At 36.3% G+C, this 20,455-nt stretch overlaps 1 protein-coding gene across 74 annotated transcripts in view, besides 2 other annotated features; it reads left to right on the forward strand.

The window, feature by feature from the left end:
* Positions 1-20,455, forward strand: part of MAP2 (microtubule associated protein 2) — a 310,066-nt gene that overhangs the window by 179,466 nt on the left and 110,145 nt on the right. The gene's annotated exons all lie outside the window — the stretch shown is intronic.
* Positions 11,086-11,683: an enhancer, noted in NCBI's record as "OCT4-NANOG hESC enhancer chr2:210479322-210479919 (GRCh37/hg19 assembly coordinates)". NCBI's record gives its function as "activates a minimal SCP1, AML or CMV promoter by ChIP-STARR-seq in naive and primed H9 embryonic stem cells {active_cell/tissue: H9 hESC(naive and primed)}" and the evidence as "EXISTENCE:reporter gene assay evidence [ECO:0000049][PMID:30033119]".
* Positions 11,684-12,280: an enhancer, noted in NCBI's record as "OCT4-NANOG hESC enhancer chr2:210479920-210480516 (GRCh37/hg19 assembly coordinates)". NCBI's record gives its function as "activates a minimal SCP1, AML or CMV promoter by ChIP-STARR-seq in naive and primed H9 embryonic stem cells {active_cell/tissue: H9 hESC(naive and primed)}" and the evidence as "EXISTENCE:reporter gene assay evidence [ECO:0000049][PMID:30033119]".

Raw genomic sequence — 20,455 nt, forward strand, 5'->3', positions numbered from 1 at the left:
GCAGGCACGGAGTAACCATTTAAGCAAGCATTTTCAAAGCTTTCTGCATGCTGGTGGGCAGCTCCTTTTACTCAATAGATGTTAATAGCTAAGAAGGGGTTACTCCCAGTCTTTAATCCCTGTGAGGTGTGAGATTTCTCATCTTTTTATACCCGCCTTTCTTGACCACATAACAGAATAGCCATGACTTTTCACATTTTTGACAGAATATCTCTCAATTTTTGGAATACAATGCTATAAAAGACATCTTTTTAAGTAACAGTTTCAGTCTTTTCATCAGAGGAAAGAAACCACAATTGCTCTTAGTGGTTTCAAAGTTGATCTAACTATCTAAGGGCTGTATGTGCTCTGGTAGGGGGAAAAAATGAGAAAAGTTTGTGTAATGCCAAGGTAAAGCCACAGTGTCCTACTTTTGCTGATCGGAGGAATGTGCAATTGTGTGGAGGGACATTGCAAATTCTAGTTAGCTGAGGATTCTGCCTTGCTGACCCGCAGCAGGTCTTATCATCTCCCGGAGGATTTTGTTTTGCATCCTGTGTGTATTCACTAGTTTGTACCAGTTTCCATTAATTTATCCATGAGATTCACTGGATCTCTATAGCAGTAAGAAGGATTGGTGCCAACAAGAAGGCTATAGCTTAGGGTAGGGCCCAAGAAAGATGAACAGATTTTTAGAATGTTTGCATTTATTTAATCACAACTTCAATTCAGTTTTCCAAGTAGTTACTGAGGTGTTCATTAAGTCCGTACCCAGTACCCTTGAAACAAGAATGCCACATAAATCCTTGTCTTAATCTGCACTAATCCAGATGAGCTAATTTGGTAGTTTGGCTCTTTAGTTCCCTAAAGTGACCTTAACACAGGGTGTACAGTGCCCTATCTGCATAATCATGAATTGTAGCAAAAAGGTTTTTGCTCCTGGTCTAAAGAAACTCACCAATATTCATTTTGGTGATACATTTGTTCTCTAATATGACCATCAGCAGTTCAAATGTAATTAGAACTAAGAAAAGGGATATCCTCTTAAATGTAACCACCTTGCTTTCTCTTCGAAGCCTTTAAAAAGGATTTCTGTAAAACAGTTTTTGGTATTTTAACCGAGTAACCCTACAGTAACAGTCTGTTTTATGGAGGTCTTTTCAAATTGTACACATAGGCAGGCCCAAACCCTGCGCACATGCTTTTTGTTTGTGCAGAGAATGCTGTTAAGTTCTTTTATTGCTTAAGCAAGAATAACAAATAATTATCCTGCCATAAAGGAAAATACTGATAATTATAGTTTGCCAAGCATGTTGAATAAGCGGACAGGAAAGACAAAGTGTTAGTGTTGGCAAATCCCAAAACAGAATACTTCTGCAGACCGAAATAAACTCCCAATTCTAATGGCCTCCCCATAAAAATGCTAAAAACTTTAGAGGCTGTTGAACAAAGCCTGATGGTTATGGTATATTATATGTAACCACAGAGATGAAGATTTTAAACATAGTCAGTAATTTCTCACTGTGTTTTAGTTAGTGCAGCAGAAATATACTAAAAGAGTATATGCGTGTGTATGCAAATGTGAATACATCAGATCTGAAAAAAATATTTATATAAAGGTAACTAGGCTGTTTTAGAAAACAATTTTAAAAATACAGTTTCTCCTAGCTACTGTTCATTAGTAGTCCTCTCAACAAACGTATTTCAGTGAGACTCATTTCACTATCTTAGACAGTTTTGTGTGACTTTTAAACAGCCCTTATGGAAATAGATTTATTCAAAATTAGATTTTTGGCAGAAAATATGTACAAGAGAACCTCATTATCTACTAATAATTGTTGTCACAGAAGGAAACATTTAAAGTAAATCTTCCTCAAACACAGATCAAGTTTTATTAAAAACATAGTGAAGGAAAGTTGGAGGCAATGTTTAGTTTGAAAAAATAAAGTTAGATCTTATAAAAATAAGGTTATTATAACTATGAATAGAAATGCTTGTATTATAATTGCAACTATATGCTCATTCTAAGACAAAGGAATGAATTGAGTTTGTTTGGTTTTATTGAGAGTAACTTCCCCACAAGTTTTATTAGAAGGTAGTTCAACATCCTTTATGCCACCTTTGGCTTTTTCAGCATGCTCCTTAAAAAGGCTGTTTGGGTAAAAATATTTAAGCACTTACTCAATTTTTCCTAGATTTTAAAAAACTATTGTGATACAGAAATAATTATTTGTTAAAGTGAATATTGTGCCCTTATCCTTGTGGTTTTCCCTTTTTCACTGGTAACCGGCCTAACCATGCCAGATCTTCATGTTCTCATGATTTGCCTGTTACTTGAGTACCTCTCCTCCATTGCCTTAGACTTGCAATTTAAATTAACAGTTGAGTGGTATCCCATTTGTGTTGTGTTGTCAGATATTAGCATCTTCTGACAAGTATCTGGAAATCAACTCAAGAGGAAAGACCTTGACCTTTTGAGAAAGGGTAAAGTTAGTGTTAACCGCTGGATAGATAGATGCATGTTCATGTAAATACTTATTTTATAAATGATCAGTTTTTTTAGTGACTATGTTCACGTTATGATGGGGGGGGTGTAGAAAAAAATTTCTCCAATGTGTAAAATAATCTTCCTCACTCAAAATCGTATATCAAGCCTTTTCTTTAAGAGAACATCCATTTGATTGATACCACCAGAGAAGACTTTAATAAATTGTTCAGTCTTTTTTTATTTCTGGCTCTTTCATAAAGTTACTTGAAGACTGTTTCTAAATATGTGTCTATGGTTAAAAATATAAAAGAAAAACTTCCAGGTGAGACTATTTAATTTTTAGGCACTGTAAAGGGAAGATGTTTCCTCTTGGTATTAACATGTGAAGAAAGAATAGAGAAAGTAGGTCTTGTGGCTTGCACCTGTAATCCCACCACTTTGGGTAGCTGAGGTGGGAAGATAGCTTGAGCCTGGAGATAAAATTTGCAGTGAGCTGTGATCACACCACTGTACTCCAGCCTTGGCAATAGAGTAAACCTTGTCTCAAAAAAAGGAGGGGGCATGGAATTGGGGTTAAAAAATAGAGTAGATTCATTCTGTGGGCAAAGTCTAGTAAAACCTAGGTAATTAACATCTCTCTATTAAATTGGACATATGAAAGAGCTTTAGAAAAATCTGTACCAATCCATTCTTTTGTTTTGATGACATTATTTTGAATGTAATAAATAATTATCACATTTGATAGTTGAGATCATGTTTATGAGTCATTTGATTTTGCATATATGAGCCCTGCTTGGAGCTAAGTAACTGCATAATTAAATTTTCATTTAAAGGAACAATAACCGCAGAAAGTCAAAAGCTAACTCAAGTAACAGGTGGTAAATGTTTGATATCTGTATTTTAGGTGACTTCACAGTAAATGAATAGCATTAATGATATTAAATATATCATTTTCTGTTGTGTTCCTGTTAATCTTCAGCAGAAATATTTATTAACTTTAAATATATTTTGAAAGTATTTTATTGTTAATGATGAGAAAAACTAATAGCATCTACCAGTTAGTATAATAAGGTAATAACCACAAAACTCATCTACTCACCAACATGTTTCTATGTTATGATGTACATGTCCCAGGTACATTTCCAAGTAGATGGCATTCTACTTTCAAATACACTTGGGAACCATATAACCATTGGATACTATTTAACATTTAAAACATTTTCCAAAGTTGAAGGTGTTTTGAATATTTAAAGTTTCTTTATTTCAGTACTTAAAGAAACATAGACTGAAATACTGGGAGAAACAACTGGTTCACTGACTGCAGACCAAGATGAATTAGTCAAGAGATAATATAAAACTTGAGCCAAGGGTCAGTTCATCCCAAACAGATTTTGAAAGATGGTAAACTATTCCCTCCCTCTCAGATGTCTTCAAATTAATGTTTCATTTGTTTGTTTGTTTATTTGTTTGTTTGAGACAGAGGCTCACTTTGTTGCCCAGGCTGGAGTGCAGTGGCACAATCTCAGCTCATTGCAACCGCTGCCTCCTGGTTTCAAGTGAACCTACTGCCTCAGACTCCCAGGTAGCTGGGATTACAGGCACCTGCCAACACACCCGGCTAATTTTTGTGTTTTTAATAAGGACAAAGTTTTACCATGTTGGCCAGGCTGATCTCGAACTCCTGACCTCAGGTGATCCACCCACCTTGGCCTCCCAAAGTGCTGGGATTACAGGCATGAGCGACTGTGCCCGGCCTGAATATTAATACCATGTGGCTGCCTACCCCACTGGTGTGCACTATTGCTGGATCCTCACCAGTGAGGGGTACCCCTTTTACTCCAGAGTCCTAATTCTGAAAGCCCCAGTCTTAATTCTGCTAATATTTCTAACTACCACTTTCTTATTCCTTTTGCTAGTCAAACTCCTCTAACATGTCCATTCAATTTATTGTCTTATATCTTTTCTGTCACACTCTTTTCTTAGCATTTTGCTAGATTTCATTTTCACCCTATTATATGCTGGAAATGTTTTCTGAGAGATCTCCTGTGATCATCTTATTTTAAAATGGAACAGTTGCCTTTTACTTTTTATGTTGAATGACCTCTCTTTGCCACAGTAATGATGCAGTAGAAAGAATGTGAAAACTTGATTTCACTCTTGACTCTACTGTGCACCACTGACTGTGAGACCTTAGGCAAGTTATGAAACATCATACAAAGATTAAATACTGTCCAAAACCTGAAACAAAGATTAAATACTGTACACATATATAAGAGGATATTATTAGTGGCTACCCATTTCTCCTTGGAATCTTTTTTTTTTTAATGGAGACAGTATCTTGCTGTGTCACCCAGGCTAGTGTGCAGTGACACAATCATAGCTCACTGCAACCTTGAATTCCTAAGCTCAAGTATCCTCCCACCTCAGCCTCCTGAGTAGCTGGGCTGCTGGGGTGTGCCACCACACCTGGCTAATTTCTAATTTTTTTGTAGAGATGGGATCTCGCTATGTTGTCCAGGCTGGGAAATCTATTTTTATTTGATTCTGCAATATTGAATTGTATTGTTTTTACTGGCTTTTCTTCATCCTGCCACTCTATCATTGGTCCATCCCAAAACTATTGGCCTATCCCAAGATTCTTGTTCCATATATTTGACGAGGCCATCCATTTCAATTCTAGATTAATCTTTGTGAAACACAACTAATTATATCTTAGCCTAAAACCTCCAAGAAATTCTTCTGTATGCTGAAATAAATATACATTCCTCCAATTAGGATTCCATCCCCTCTGTTATATGACCCCTACCTACATTTCCATTTCTATCTCCCACTGTTCTCTGTTGTGTGCCAACAACCTGTAGTTCTCATTGCCCCTTTGCTTCTGCTCTTTCTTCAGTTTCATCTTTGCCCCTCATCCCCTGCTTGCCCAAATTATGTGTAACTTTACAAAGCTCATCTTAAATACCATGCTCTCCAGAATAATTAAAATTGAATGTAATATATTCTCTGATTCACATAGTCCCTGACACATACTTTTTCTTCTGTGCTCTCACCCTATACTTTGTGTTAATTACCATCCCAGATTTGATTATATATAAGCTTCTTGAAATCAGGAAGGGTGTTTCATGTATTTTTAAATAAGATCTAAGTAGATGAGGTATAATTTAATGCCTAATATATAGTAACAAATGTATATTCATTCTGAATATACATTTTCCCATTGCTCAGGCTTAAAACTCTGAAAAAAATCTTAAATTTCAAAAAATTAATATTTACTAAATTAATTTTTGATTTTTCTATCAAAATCATGAATTAACATATGTCATTGGGTCATTAATTTTGTTTGAAAATAATAGCTATATTGAGTGAGATATAATTCACATATAAAAATTCACCCCTTTAAATTAAATAGTTCAGTGATTTTTAGTGTATTAACAGAGTTATGCAAGCATATCCATTATCTAATTTTAGAAGGTTTTTATCACCCCCAATGGAAACCCATCAGCAGTCACTCAATTTCTGCCTCACCTCTATCCTAGACAACCTCTAATCTACTCTCTATGGATCTGTCCCTTTTCCTGGACATTTCATATAAGTAATACAATAGGTGGTCTTTTGTAGAAGGCTTCTTTCACTTAGCATCGTATTTTCAGTGTTCATGCATCATTCACTGCTTTTTATGGAAGAATAATATTCCATTGAATGGATATGCCAGATTTTATTAGTTCATTAATCAGTTGACGGACATTTAAGTTGCTGAGTCATTGATTCTTTTTTAAACTGAAAGGAAACCCTGTGGTTATTTAGTCCAGTATCCTCCTTTAATACATGTGAGATTGTGTCCCAAAGTGGTATTCCTAGACTTACATAGTTATTGTATTTCTTATTATTTTAGATGCTGGGTTGGTACAACACATACATTCATGTACTTTTCTACTCATTCTTTCATATGCGTAATACATACTTATGGAGCACTAAGTGTTTATGATCTGAATAAACAAAAATAATTATGGTTCATGTCCTCATGAGGTTCACAGTTTAATTGGGAATAAGCTTTTATTAAATAATCATATAAATAAACACAAAATTAGAACCATGGCAAGAGCTATAAAGAAGACATTGGGGAACTGACCTTGTCAAGGAGGATATTTTAGCTGTGATCTATGGATAAGCAATAATTACCTAAGTAAAAAGGGTAGAGAAGAGCATTCCAAGCAGAGCAAGAGCACATGCAAAGGCCCTGGCTATAGGAGCATGGCTTATAGGAGAAATGACAGAGGCAAGGTAACAGGAGAGGAGAGGGTAGGGGAAGCATGTGTGGAATGAGGCTGGAAAGTAAGGTTAAATGATGCCAAATCTTCCAGGACAAGGGAAGGGTTTTACTCATTTTCTGAGGAGTATTGGACCACTGAAGTATTTTAATCCTAGAGATAATGCAAGCAAAAAGAAAATGTGTATTGTTTTTACTTTTTTTTTTTTCTCCCAGGGCTTAGCTGTGTTAAGAAAGGCGAAATTTGCTGGATGATACGTTATCTTTTCTGCCAAAACTTGTGGTAGAATTGTGGCATTTCAAGTTTTCTTTTATGTGTTTACCAAATAACTTGTTATCAAAAGTAAAAACTTGTATTATTTTCACAGGATAAACAGCCTCCTTATTAGAATTCTCCAATTCAATTTTGTGAAGAACTATTCTTTCCAGTTCTCCTACGGAATAAGCAATCATGGCTACTTAAGAAGTATTATAATAAATATATAAAGGCCATATGTTTCCATTATACAATAAACATGTTTTAGACCTATAAATTCTAAAGGTACAGAAACCATTCTCTAAATTCCAATTAGCTAATGCCTAATTCTTTAGCCTAAGTGCTTTTGACTTGAGAGCCATTCCTCTCAGGCACTATATGAATGGGACCCAGGAAGCTTTTGTAGAAATAATATAAAGCTTTTGTAAAAAATAAAGGTCATGCCTGCATGGGCATGAATCCAAAGCTTTCATTAAATTCTACAAAGAGTCTATTATACACACAAAAAAGTTAAAAACTAGGGTTTTTGAGAGTGGAAAATAATCTATAAGTTACTAGGAAAAAATATTTGGTCACTTTTTATACTACTTAGAGAAGTTTAAACCAATGCAGTTACAAATGACGCCAAATATTTAAACTAACAGCTATTATATAAGCTAATATCTTGAAAGCAGTATTCTCTTTTTTAAAAATTATAGACCTTAGATCATACTCAGGGATTATATTGAGCACTTGTGAGGAATGTAGATTCCTGGACCCACTACAGACATTTGGAATCAGAATCCCTGGAATAGAACTCAGAACTCTGGATTTTTAACCAGGATCCCAGGTGATTTTGGTGTCAACACATGTTTGGAAAGGTAACATAGTAAATAACAACATTCTTTCTCTGTTCAGTGTTTTGAAAAAACAAATTTATACAATTCATTAGTTATAATAGTACCATGTAATGCACACTGAAAAAATATATATATAATATAATTTACAATTTAAAGATGAAGAAATTATGGACCAATGAAATTAAATAATTGGCCACATAGAGATCTGGCTTTGTTAATACTCTGTCATAAAGCCTCTTGCTGTAACTGCTATAAGTTACCTACTGCTAGTTCCGTACTATAAGAAGTACTCAGGAAAAGAAAGCTTCTTTTAGAGAGTGGAGTTATATGAGTCCATAACAGTGTTAGTCAACATCCACTGAAACCCATGATCATCAACAAAGTTAAAGATTTATAAAGAACAAAGTATAATACATGAGCCTCTCTCACCAAGCACAACTGTCTGACACTTTCTAAAAGAAGCTCTCAGAGGTAACACTTTACAGGCAGAAAAAGTGTGAAAATGAGAAAAATTTGCTCCAAGTTGTTACAATTTAACAAGCAGGGAGTATAAAGAAAAAACAAAATATTACAGTAAAGTAACCCTAAAACCTATTAGCGTGTATCACTACCAAAAATAAATAAGTGGATAAATAAAACTCCATGTAACTCCTTAAAGCAGCTGGAAAAAGACAGGTCTGTTAGGTTGCTTTAAGACATGAGCTTTAATAAGCATTTTACCCAAGAGAGATGGCTCTGTGATATGTGTGTGCTGTATCACATGAATTGCGTTTCATTTCATGCAGCGCCTTTATTGGGCATTAATAATAAAACTGCTGAATTTAAAAACAAATTCTGAAATCAACTCTATTTTATAGACCTTTACTAGAAAAGAGCTCTTTGCCAATATAATGTGGTCTATTCATAAAATATTTCGAGAGTGAAAAGATAGAAGTTTTCTAGTTATTTGTTTATTTCTAGTTTCTAGTTATAATTTTGAAATGTTTGCATTTCAGTAATGAAGTCAGGGGTTAAAAACATTCAATTTGACTTTAAGGTGGCTTTATCACAAGAACACTGATTTCTTCTAAAATATCTTCACAGTTTATTTCTTTATGAAAAAATGGTTTTAATTCAAATTATTTAAGAGAAAAGATCGTTCCTTTATGTAATGCTAAAAACCAACTCTTCAGGAAATTGGGAGCCAGAATTTTTTTCTGGGCCTGTTGTAGCTGAGTTTGTCAGCTGCCATATAACAGCAGAAATAATATTTCTTATGATGCTGTTGAAAAGTGCTATTCAGCCAGCAGCTATAGCAAGTAATGTATTAAATGAATGAGAGAACTATTAAATACATTATTTCAAGACTTTTAGGTGATGCTATAGCTGATCAATATTTGAGAATATTTTGGGAAATGAATGGCAAATGTCTTTTTTGGTCATGAGTCAACTTCTCTATGACATGGAAACATAGTATTAGAACAAGTTTTACAGGAAATCTTATTTAAGAGCAGAAAATGCTATAACTTCCTTTGGATAGTTAAGGATCCTTATCTTTTGGTTTAGCAGTGGCATTATGTTTTCTTATTAACACAATAGGAATCTGTATTCCTGGTTTTAGTGTTATTTCAAAGTTATATCAGGATCTAATGAAACATGGCCCATTCATGGCTGCTTGCTACTGTAATAAATTCTTGGAGACTATTGCTAAAATTACCTTCTATTAGATCAGGTTCTCTTACCCCCGCCGTGCGCATCAGTTGATCTCCAGACAATCAGTGAGAGTATTTTCAGAGCTTGAAGTAGACTTGCTGTGCATAGGGAAAGCATATTCTGTTTATGCTAACTAGACAGAACCACCCAAAACATGAGGCAAAGAGAAAGCCACAAATGGCTTCCAGTCTCTTAACGTGTTTTTTATTTCTATTTTTATTTATTTATTTATTTATTTATTTATTTTAATCTGTTTTCTATAGCTGCATGAGTTTTCTTTTAGCTGAATGGCTCTCTGTTTGGAATTAACATTAGGAAATAGAATGAATGTGAAATGGCAAAAATAAAATCATAAACAAAAGAAAACAAAACTCACTAAACTATAGGATCTGTAGTCCTTCGTTAAGAAAGTGCCTCCAAAATCTTCCTTAGAGCCAAAGCCCCTGCTAAAGGTGAAATCATGCAAGTCACTAGTTGCCGTGGGGAGCACACAGTGCAGGTTGCTGGCTTTGCAGTTTTGGGAAGGCCCCAGATGGATGGATCAAGGAGCTCAGTGGGGCTAGCGGAGAAGAGCTCTACACTTGGTGTCTTGGAATTAGACCACTGAAAGACTCAGAGTGGGACTTTTTTATTGTAGTATAGTTATTCAGAGCCACAATTTTAAAAGATAAAACATTTTGAAGTCTGTCAACTATTCATTGGCTTAACATAGCTCTAAAAAACATTCTAACAGTGTGAGGTTGAAACCTACCTCTGAAGCAAACTTTTGTGCCTGCAAATACCAAAGGTAGCTGATGTAGTCCCAGACGAGCCCAGGGTAACCCAAGCAAGGAGTCAACAGCCCTCACATTCCTTTGGAACAACAATAATTAGAGCAGCTGGAATATTTGCAACCTCATTGGCTCACTTGCTGTGTTTTTAAGCCCAGGCTTTAATCTTATTTTTATGTTTTTGTATAAATCAGACTCATGTGGCTTAATTATAGACATTAAGTGGCTACTAGGAGCTTTAGATGAAAGCTTTTCAATACCGTGCAATGCCCGGGTTCTCTGGTGTCCTCCCCACTCTGCAGTTTCTGTCTCTTTGTGCCCCTCCTCCTGTGTTGATTTCTGCACTCCTCCTTCCTCCATTCCGACTGCCCCTCATCTCAGTGGTGCCTGTTTACTTAAATCTAAGCCAATTAAATACAACATAATAATAGAACATCTTTCTGAAAAGAGCACAAAGGATGGGGAATTGCATGGCCACTGACTGAATAACAGAAGAACGAGGAAAACATCTTAAAAGAAACCCCCAATAGATGATTCATCTATTCTTCCTTTGCCTCCTATTTATAGGGAGGCAGCCTCTTCTTTGTTTTTGTTTCCAGCAATCTCTATGCCAAGTCCCCCATCTTTCTTTGGTAGAATCTTAATGATATATCATCATGTATATTTCCAAGATTATTGATTTGAGAATTATCATATTATGCACTCAGGAATATGGTTATAGAATTTCCAGAACACTTGGGAGTGATAACATTATAGATCGAGATATATTTCAAGGCTTGCTTTTATGTTGATATATTTTCTGAGCCAGTAAGTAATATTCTCACTCAATTAAGAGAAACTCACTTTTTAAAATGCGTTATTACAAGCAATCGCTTTAGTAATAAAATGTTGGCTGCCACTGTTAAGAAAATAATTTGGGGAGGAAGAAAAGATATTTCACATTAGTATCACAGAAGGGGGAGGGGAGGGTGCCAGCTTAGTCCCCACTGTGCTAATTAAGTGATCATGCATTGCCTCTTGAACAACATGCAGCAGAAGATAAAGAACTCAAATCAGCTGGAGATCACCCTTAATTGTAAACTCTTCCGCAAGACTCCAGTGAGTCGATGAACTTCCTCTGCTTCTAGAGCTTTTAGCTTTTCATGCTAAAAGTAGATTTGTCAGAATTTCATTTTTCTGCTCAGATGACTGTAGCACAGCCTGTATTTCCCTCTCTCTGGTGTGGTCCCCTTTCCTAAATGCATGCCTTTCCAAATTATCCACGATCAGGAATGTCAGAGGGTGTGGAGCTCAGGCAAAAAACATCATCAGTCAGCTGAATTCCAGTTTCTATAGACCACAGCTGGAATCTGAATGCTCACGTTGACCTCAAAAATAGCCTGGTGCTCTGTCCCCTGTGTTCAGCCGAATGCCTCTTCAGTGAAATCTCTGTATGTGGCTGCAGGTTGACAGATGGCTCCCAGCAGGTGAACTCAAGGCTATTAGTGAGTGAAATGCGTTCTTTCTCTGCCACAATCCTTCTCAAAGACAACCTCATGTCTTAAGAACCTTACAAAAGGCTTTTAGATGTTAAGCAAAACTCAAGAGAAGAGTTGAAGCCAAGAAACCACAGATTAAAATAACCATAGGGTTTCTGCTCAAGTTAATACCTAGTTTCTTCATGAGATAATACAGTAGTGCTAAGTGGTAAAAGAAAATATCATTTAAAGACTGATATTGACACTTTGCAATTTTCCACAATTGTCAAAGCATTTTTCCAAACATATAACTTTATGTAATCCTTACAATGACTCTATAGGGGAAGTCTCATTAATAGTCTTCATTTTGAGAGTGGCAGGAGGCAGCCAAATGCCTAGGCAGATACAGGCAGGTCCCCGGTGAAACGCCACCTCCAAGCCGAAGACAGTAAAAAGCCTGAAAGCCAAGCTACATGTTAAATCCTCTGACTGGATTGAGAACTTGTGTTCCTGTTTAGTGCGCTTTCCTCTGATTTGTGCCTACCCTTCACCTATTTTACATATACCTACTCTTTCCTAATTGATTTTTCTATGCTATCATGCCCTCCTTTGAGTGGTATCTTCACTTTAAGCTTTTCTGCATACTCACAAACCAATCAGCACACACTCCCCATTCTGAGTTCATAAAAGGCCCAGACCCAGCCACACAGGCAGAACTTTCCCACCTTCGGGTGAGGGCACCATTTCTCCCCTATCCCACATCCCCTGTCCACTGAAAGCTATTTTCATTGCTCAATAAAATTCTTCTCCCTCTCCACGCTTCAATGTCCTGCTGTGTATCCTCATTCTTCTTGGGCATGGTACAAGAGCTCGGGAACCACCAAACAGAGGTACCAGCTATAACACAGCTATAACCAGCTTGTGGCCTTGGCACACACAAGCATGGCCTAGTGAGGCCCAGGTGGGGCATCACTGGCCCGGGGTCCCCAGCTTGCAAAGTGATCAAGAAGAAAAATCCTACATCAATTTTATTGCTAACAGTGATGATCCAAAAAGTTAGAAGGCTTAACCAATATTACACAGCCAGTAAGTGTTCAAGTTCAGCTTCTATATCTAAAGTTTGAGTTCTTTTTACTTCAAAGACCAAATTTGATTAATTCCTAGTCAGAATGGTTAGGAAAATAAACTACGTCATTCATTAACTCATTCATTAGACCTTTACTAACCCACTTACAAATCAGGGAAGCATTAAGCAGGGTATAGCAAGATTTCATTGCTTATAACAGAGGAGCTCATCTACACAAAGTTAACCAGTACTGAGCACACCTTTCCATTTTTTGCAATACGTCTCTCAGCTGTTCATTCATTGGTTGAATAGTTACTGAACAAGTATTTGCTACCAAACAAGGGGTGTAGTGTAATAAGAAAACAGTCAGTCTTTCTAGAGTATACACATTAGTTGGGGTGGAGTGGGGCAGACATTAAACAAATACACAATATGCATTGTTAGTGATAGTGTCTGAAAATAGACAGTGGGATGAGTATGTATTAGTCTGCCCAGCCTGCCATAAAGAACACCACAGGCTGGGGGGCTTAGGTTCAGTGAAGCATAGGCAGCCATGTAGAAATATGGTTGGACAAAAAGGATATTATCTCATAATTATAGACTAGGCGGGGGGACCCAGCAAGACCTGTCTGTTCAGATTCTTCATGGCCTCTGTGCAACATTCCTTCCTTCCATTAAACAAGGTAGATCAAAGCATTTCTTTATGGCAAATTCTTACACAGAAAGGCGGGATGGGGGATACAGTGTGGGGAGTCATAATGATATTTTTAGGTTTTATGGCTGACTTTGGGAAAAGAGGGCTCTGGTTTCTATGACCCACCTTAAGGAACAGGGATTCTAGTTTCTATGACTTGTGTTGGAGAAGAATGAGGCCTAGAGATAGACAAAAGGACAGGAGAAGATCAGAAAGAAACTGCTTCCTAGGCCTTCATTTTGGGTTATTGTTTTCTGAGCCCCAACATTAGCCAATGAGCAGAGTGAGGGGGTTATGGGTGAAAAATTACCAAGAGGCATCAAGTGTAGGTTGATTCTTGCCAAACCTACCTAATCAGATTCTTGCTGAAGGCAGACCAAAGACACACATCAAAGCTGGAGGATAAGAAACTCAATCAGATACCCAGCGTGATCAAATGTCAAGGGTGGGGGATTCTCTCTAAACTGATTTTAGATTCTTGCTCCAAGAATCCAAAGGAGCCAAAGTCAAGTCTTCTAGTTAAGAAGAGAGCTCAGAGAAGCCTGGCTAAAGTTTGGTCAAGGAGAGACTCTTTGCTTCTTTGTGCTCATGGAAAGAAAAGGAGATCTGGTGTCTCCTCCTCTTCTTATAAGGACTCAGTCCTGTTGGATTAGAGCCCTATCTTTATGACCTCATCTAACCTTAATCACCTCCCTAAAGGCCTTATCTCCAAATGTAATCACGTTAGCAGTAAGGACTTCAATATATGAATGTTGGGGGTGGGGGAGGATATAATACAGTCCACAAAGGGTATAAATTAATAACTCTTCAGAGACACTTTGGCAGCATTGTTTGAAATCTATTGTGTACGTATATGGTTTAACATTTTTTTATCCTGCATATGTTTTTATTTTAAATTCAAAATGCTATCAAAAAGTAGTTTACATATTTAATAAATACTAATGGCTTTTAGAATTGAAATAAAGAAAAAAAAAGGTCAGGGACATGAATTTCTTACAATTTCATGAAGCCTTAATTAACTATATATTGTAGTTTACATGAATATCAAATAAATATAAGAAACGAGAACCATACATCAGTGAAAGAAACATTCCTGGAGTGGTTGGGGAATCGAAGAGTTCATGGAGAACACTTCAGTTAAATAAGGAGTTGAAAAATCAAGAGGAAGGAAGAGACAAAAGGAGCAGAGGAGACAGGCAGAAAGAAAGAGAAAGAAGAGGACCTTGCAGGAGAGGAGAAAAATACAAAGATGGAATTAATAGGTCTGCAAAAGAACTAGTCTAAGAAAATGTGAGGGTTTGTAACAGTAGAAAGTTCAGGATGAATACATTGTAGTCACAATACAAAAGTCCTTGAGGCTAAGCTGAGAAATTTATATTTTGTCATTTTGAAAAAATAATTTTGACCATGAGTGCTACTAATAAATCACTATGTGGTATCCCGGCAAGATAAGTCTTACGACAACATGTGAACCTGCTCAATTTCCTTTGAGCCTCTCTCCAATTTTTTTCTCCTACCACATGAACCTGGGTACCTGCATTAATTTATTCTACCATTTTTTAAAGATTGGTGTTCTGTTTGAATGGCTGTTATCAAAAAGACAATATATAAGTGTTGGAGAGAATGTGGAGAAAAGGAGACACTTGCCCACTGTTGATGGAAATATAAATTAGTACAGCCATTATGGAGAACAGTTTGGTGGTTCTTCAAAAAATTAAAAATAGAACTACCATATGATCCAGCAATCCCACTACTGGATATATATCCAAAGAAACTGAAACCAAATGTCAAAGAGATATCTACACTCCTATGATGATTGCAACATTATTCACAATAGCCAAGATATGGAATCAACCTGTGTCCATCAACTGATGAATGGATCAATAAAATATGGGATATATACATAATGAAATATCATTCAGCCATAACAAAGAAAAAAATTTGCAACTACTTGGATAAACCTGGAGGACATTATGTTACATGAAATAAGACAGACTCAGAAAGACATATTCCTCATGGTCTTACTTGTATGTGAAATCTTTAAATGTTGATCTCATAGAAGTAGAGAGTAGAATGGTGGTTATCAGGAGCTGTGGCAGTGATGTTGGGGGTATGCTGGGGAGATGTTGCTCAAAGATAACGAAGTTTCTGTTTGGTAGGGGAAGTAAATTCAAGAGATCTATTATACAATATGGTGACTGTAGTTAATAACAATATATTGTATTCCTGAAAAATGTTAACAGAATAGATTGTAAATGTTCTCACCACAAAAAATGACAACTATGTGAAGTAATACATATGATATCAAGCTTGATTTAGCCATTCTACAATGTATACATATTTCAAAACATCATATTATACATGATAAATATATATAATTTTATCTGCTAATTGAATAAATAATAAAAGTTTGGTGTTTTGTATGCAACTTAGAGACAAATGAACAGATGGCTTTCTGTCAAGTAGTGTTACATTTCTTCAGCTATATTCTGATGCTGAGCAGAAAACAGCAGTGTAGTATATAAATAAGCAAAAATACTGATACATGTGCCCCATTGCTGCTCAACGTTCCCTATATTACAGTGCCAATTCATATTTTATTTATAAAATAAAATATTTGTTTATATGTATATATATTTAATCAGAGTCAGCATAAGCTACCAATTTAGCAAAGTGAGTTTTAAGCTGATATCACCAGGCATTGTTATTTATTTTCAACCTTTGTCAACAAGGAAGAATCCTAACATAGCTACAGGACCCAGCCCATCATACCCATTCATCCTTGAGATGGAGATATTTATTGCTCACCAGATATCAGATATCCATTTATCCCCCATGTTTCTCCACCCCTTGCATTTAAGCAACATGTTCAGTACAGTGGGCTGTAAGAGGAAGTGATGTGTGTCACTTCCTCATTAAGGCATTTAAGAGCCTGTGCTCAGCCCTCCAGATGTCTTCTTTTGCTGCTGCTGTAATCCTGAAGGCTGTGAGTTGAGCCACAAGAAGGATGTACCTAGAGAGCTCTGTCACTGCATGAGAGAGAAGTGGCCTGGAGAGTCTTCCTACTCACATCAGGATTTGTGTAAACAGGTTATAACCTTTATTGTGTAAAGCCTCTGAGACTTAAGCCTTACTTTTCTGACTAATCTAATTGTTTATCCTTCACCTACTTGTATACTATTTTTACTGCCTTGAATTATGTTGAGATGCTTCAGACAAGACTAGATCATTTCTACTAAATCAGCTTAACCCAGCCCGTTAGTCCTCTACAATAGCCTGGAGCTTCTGGGTTTAGAGATGAAAGGAGATAATTCTTACTGTCTACCTTACCCAAGTTCTCTGCTCCACTGAAGACCATATGTTATTTGCATAGGAATTTGCTAACAGCTCTTAATCCTTTCAAATTATATTTTGAAATAAGTTTCCTTTGCAAGAAACATAAGTTTCTCTTAAAAGGAACTTTGACAAAAGCTCCAAGAAAGAAAGATCATTCTCTGATATTTTCAATTATCAGTGCCTTTGGGACACCATGACTTCCTTCTACTCACAAATATGTAGATAACTAATTCTATAATAAGCACATTAGGGAGTAGAACTGGTTTAGTAGCATGTTAGACTAAATGATTTTATGTTGGCATCTGCTTTCCTATTTAAAAGACTGCTTGAATAATAGATATTTTCCCAACTGTTTTGGACATTCAGTCTTCAATAGCTAAAATATTGTTATCCTGGACAAGTGCACTAAATTACATGAATTGCTCAAAATCTTGGTAGGTCAGATTGATAGTGGAGGTGGAGTACAATGTTATTGTTGTTTATTTGAGAATTGACTGAATAGCTTAATGCTAGTCATTGAGGTTAAGCTTAGCCTTTAGAAACACTATTCGGAGGCCAGGCTTGGTGGCTTACACCTGTAATCCTAGCATCTTAGGAGGCCGAAGTAGATGGATCACCTGAGGTCAGGAGTTCAAGACCTGCCTGACCAACATGGTGAAACTCTGTCTCTACTAGAAATACAAAACTTAGCTGGGCGTGGTGGCACATACCTGTAATCCCAGCTACTCTGGGGACTGAGGCATAAGAATCACTTGAACCCTGGAGGCGGAGGTTGCAGTGAGCCGAGATCACGCCATTGCACTCTAGCCTGGCAGCCTGGGCAACAAGGGTGAAACCAAAGAAAGACAGAAAGACAGAAAGAAAGAATACAGGATTCCAGCAACTTCAGGCATCTTGATTTTTTTTTTTTTTTTTTTGAGAGAGAGTCTTGCTGTGTCACCCAGGCTGGAGTACAATGGCACGATCTCGGCTCACTGCAACCTCCATCTCCCGGGTTCAAGTGATTCTGTTTCCTCAGCTTCCTGAGTAGCTGGGATTACAGGCATGCACCACCATGCCCAGCTAATTTTTGTATTTTTAATAGAGAGGGGGTTTTGCCATGTTGGCCAGACTGGTCTTGAACTTCTGACCTCAGGTGATCCACCCTCCTCAGCCTCCCAAAGTGCTAGGATTACAGGCATGAGCCACCACGCCCGACTGATGTTTTGCTTATCTGGCAAAGTCTATCAAACATGAGATTTAAAAACTAAATGATACTTACAATGTGTTTCGAAGGAAACTAAAGAGTATATCCTGGCTCAACAATCCAGGGAAGATTTTATCTTGATGACTTTGTTGTTTAATAAAACCTGAGTTCTTACAGCCGTTGAGGAAACCACAACATGGCAACATTTTCTCCAGGAGACTCTGAAAATCTGCATGAATTTATCATTATAGCCTCAATGCTGTAGGTAGCAAATAACTTGGACATAAATATGAGAACAGCCAAACATATATGCAGCCTAAGCACATTGCATGCATATCTTATTTTACGGAGTAACCAGCTAATAAAAGCTGACTTCGTTTATAGCTGAACAAGTATTTTGGGTTCCTCATTAAATGATTTACTCAGCTTACTTTGTGATGCCAGTGTGCAGTGTACATCCTATTCTCTGCCTTGTGTAGGCTAACTCTTAAATATAATTGTTAAGCAGTTGACTTTGTCATGTGTTGTAAGTCATGATTCTCAACAGTGTTCATATCTGGCTCTAAAAGGTTCTGGAAGGTAGCATAAGCACACCTGGTAGAAATAATGGAATGATATAATGGGAGGCAGAACTGTGGCTGAGTATACTACAATTTGTTCAAGAAGCTGAATGTGCTGAGTAAAAAAAGTACTTTGTAGGTAATTCTAGTAAATTAAAAGTTGCCATCAGTGTAATATCATTCCTCAGAGAAGCCACAAGCCCTTAGGCTCAAAATTGTCTCTAGCCAGAGTTGAAGACCTAAAACCAATTCTCAGTGTCTGTGGAGTTGGTATGTAGCTAAAAGATTTGGGCACTTTCTAGCCTTGTGATGCTGGGAAGGACACTTAAACTCTCTTGGCCTGTTTTCTCATTTGTAAAGTGGGGACAATAATAGAGGATGATGGTGAGGAATAAATTACTTAATATATATGAAGTGCTTGGATCATTGTCTAGCACACAATAAATTATGTATAAATGTTTGCTAATATTATTTTAGGCATGTTGCAGCCACTTTATATAATGAATCTAATGTTAAAACTATGTTGTTAATGTTGTAAAAAAATTAGTGTTAAAGTAATTTAATGCTATTTATATGGGTACAAAGGATCACTTCTAACTATCCTATGTTAATTTAAAATTTCGTATGCCTTGTGGAATAGGCCATAAGTTGCTCTTTAAAAATAAATCCCTGAGAGTATGTATCTCTTTCTCATAAAGTCTAGAAAATTATAGTTATTTCTATTTTTTATAATAAACAAAACCTCATAAAAGTCAAGCTTATGTGAAAATGGGCCATTCTTTTTATGACTGATAGGTATTGGGTACCCTGAATTTTTTAATAATCGTCTCATCCTTTGGCCAATAATTTCCCAATTCTTTTGGGATGAAATAAGCTTTTAAGTATTTAGGGTTGGAATTTCACTTTCATTCATATGTAACTACTGAGTTAATTTTTGGAAAGACTAAAAGACAGGATTTTTTTTAGTGTTGTTTTTAATATTACCCAAATAATGAACATGCTCTTTGATAACAGATAGGTTAAATGTTTTCTGTAAATGGCCAGATAGTAAATGTTTTGAGCTTTGCAGGCCATATAGTCTGTCAGAATCATTCAAGTCTGGCATTATGGCATGAAAGCAGCCATATACAACGTGGAAGTGCGTGGGAGTGGCTATGTGCCAAAAGCACTGTATTTTTTAAAAAAGGCAGCAGCAGGATGGTTCTGACCCATGGACCATAGTTTACTGATTCATATTTTATAAAATTCATTTTTTTTCTTATTTTTACTAGGGTAAAAGACATACACATAGAATGTGTACTCACACACTTATCCATATGCATATGTGCTTACTTAAAAATCATGAAGATGAAGCACAAAAAACAAGCACTTTAAGAAATTTAAGAAAAATACATAATTTCAAGAGAAAATAAAACAGATATTCTATCCAGCATTCATTTGTTAAGTACACAAAGACTCTTTCTATCCAAATAAGCTCCAGAGCTGGCCTACCATTCTACTTTAGTTCTAAAACCAACTTAGAAGGTTTAATTTGCTAATAATCAAAATTGTCCTTAAAAATTCTCTAAATAGTCTGAAGTTATTGTGCATAGAACTCTGTATTATACTGTTATATATATTCCAAATGTGAGAACCACTGAGCTGGACTAAAGAAAAAAAAAGCTATATGCAAAGATTTGGACGGTCAGACCTTTCTTTTTAAAATAGTTATCAAATTATTACAGGGAATGGAGAATTCTACCATGTTTCTTCTTGCCTGCAGACATTTTTAAATGTTTATTTAAATGTTAAGACATTCTAACTTTAATATGTACTAATAGGACTTGTTTGCTGCTGCACATTGTGTGTAAATATTCACAGAT

Source organism: Homo sapiens, chromosome 2, assembly GCF_000001405.40.
Source record: "Homo sapiens chromosome 2, GRCh38.p14 Primary Assembly".
NCBI classification, from domain to species: domain Eukaryota; kingdom Metazoa; phylum Chordata; class Mammalia; order Primates; family Hominidae; genus Homo; species Homo sapiens.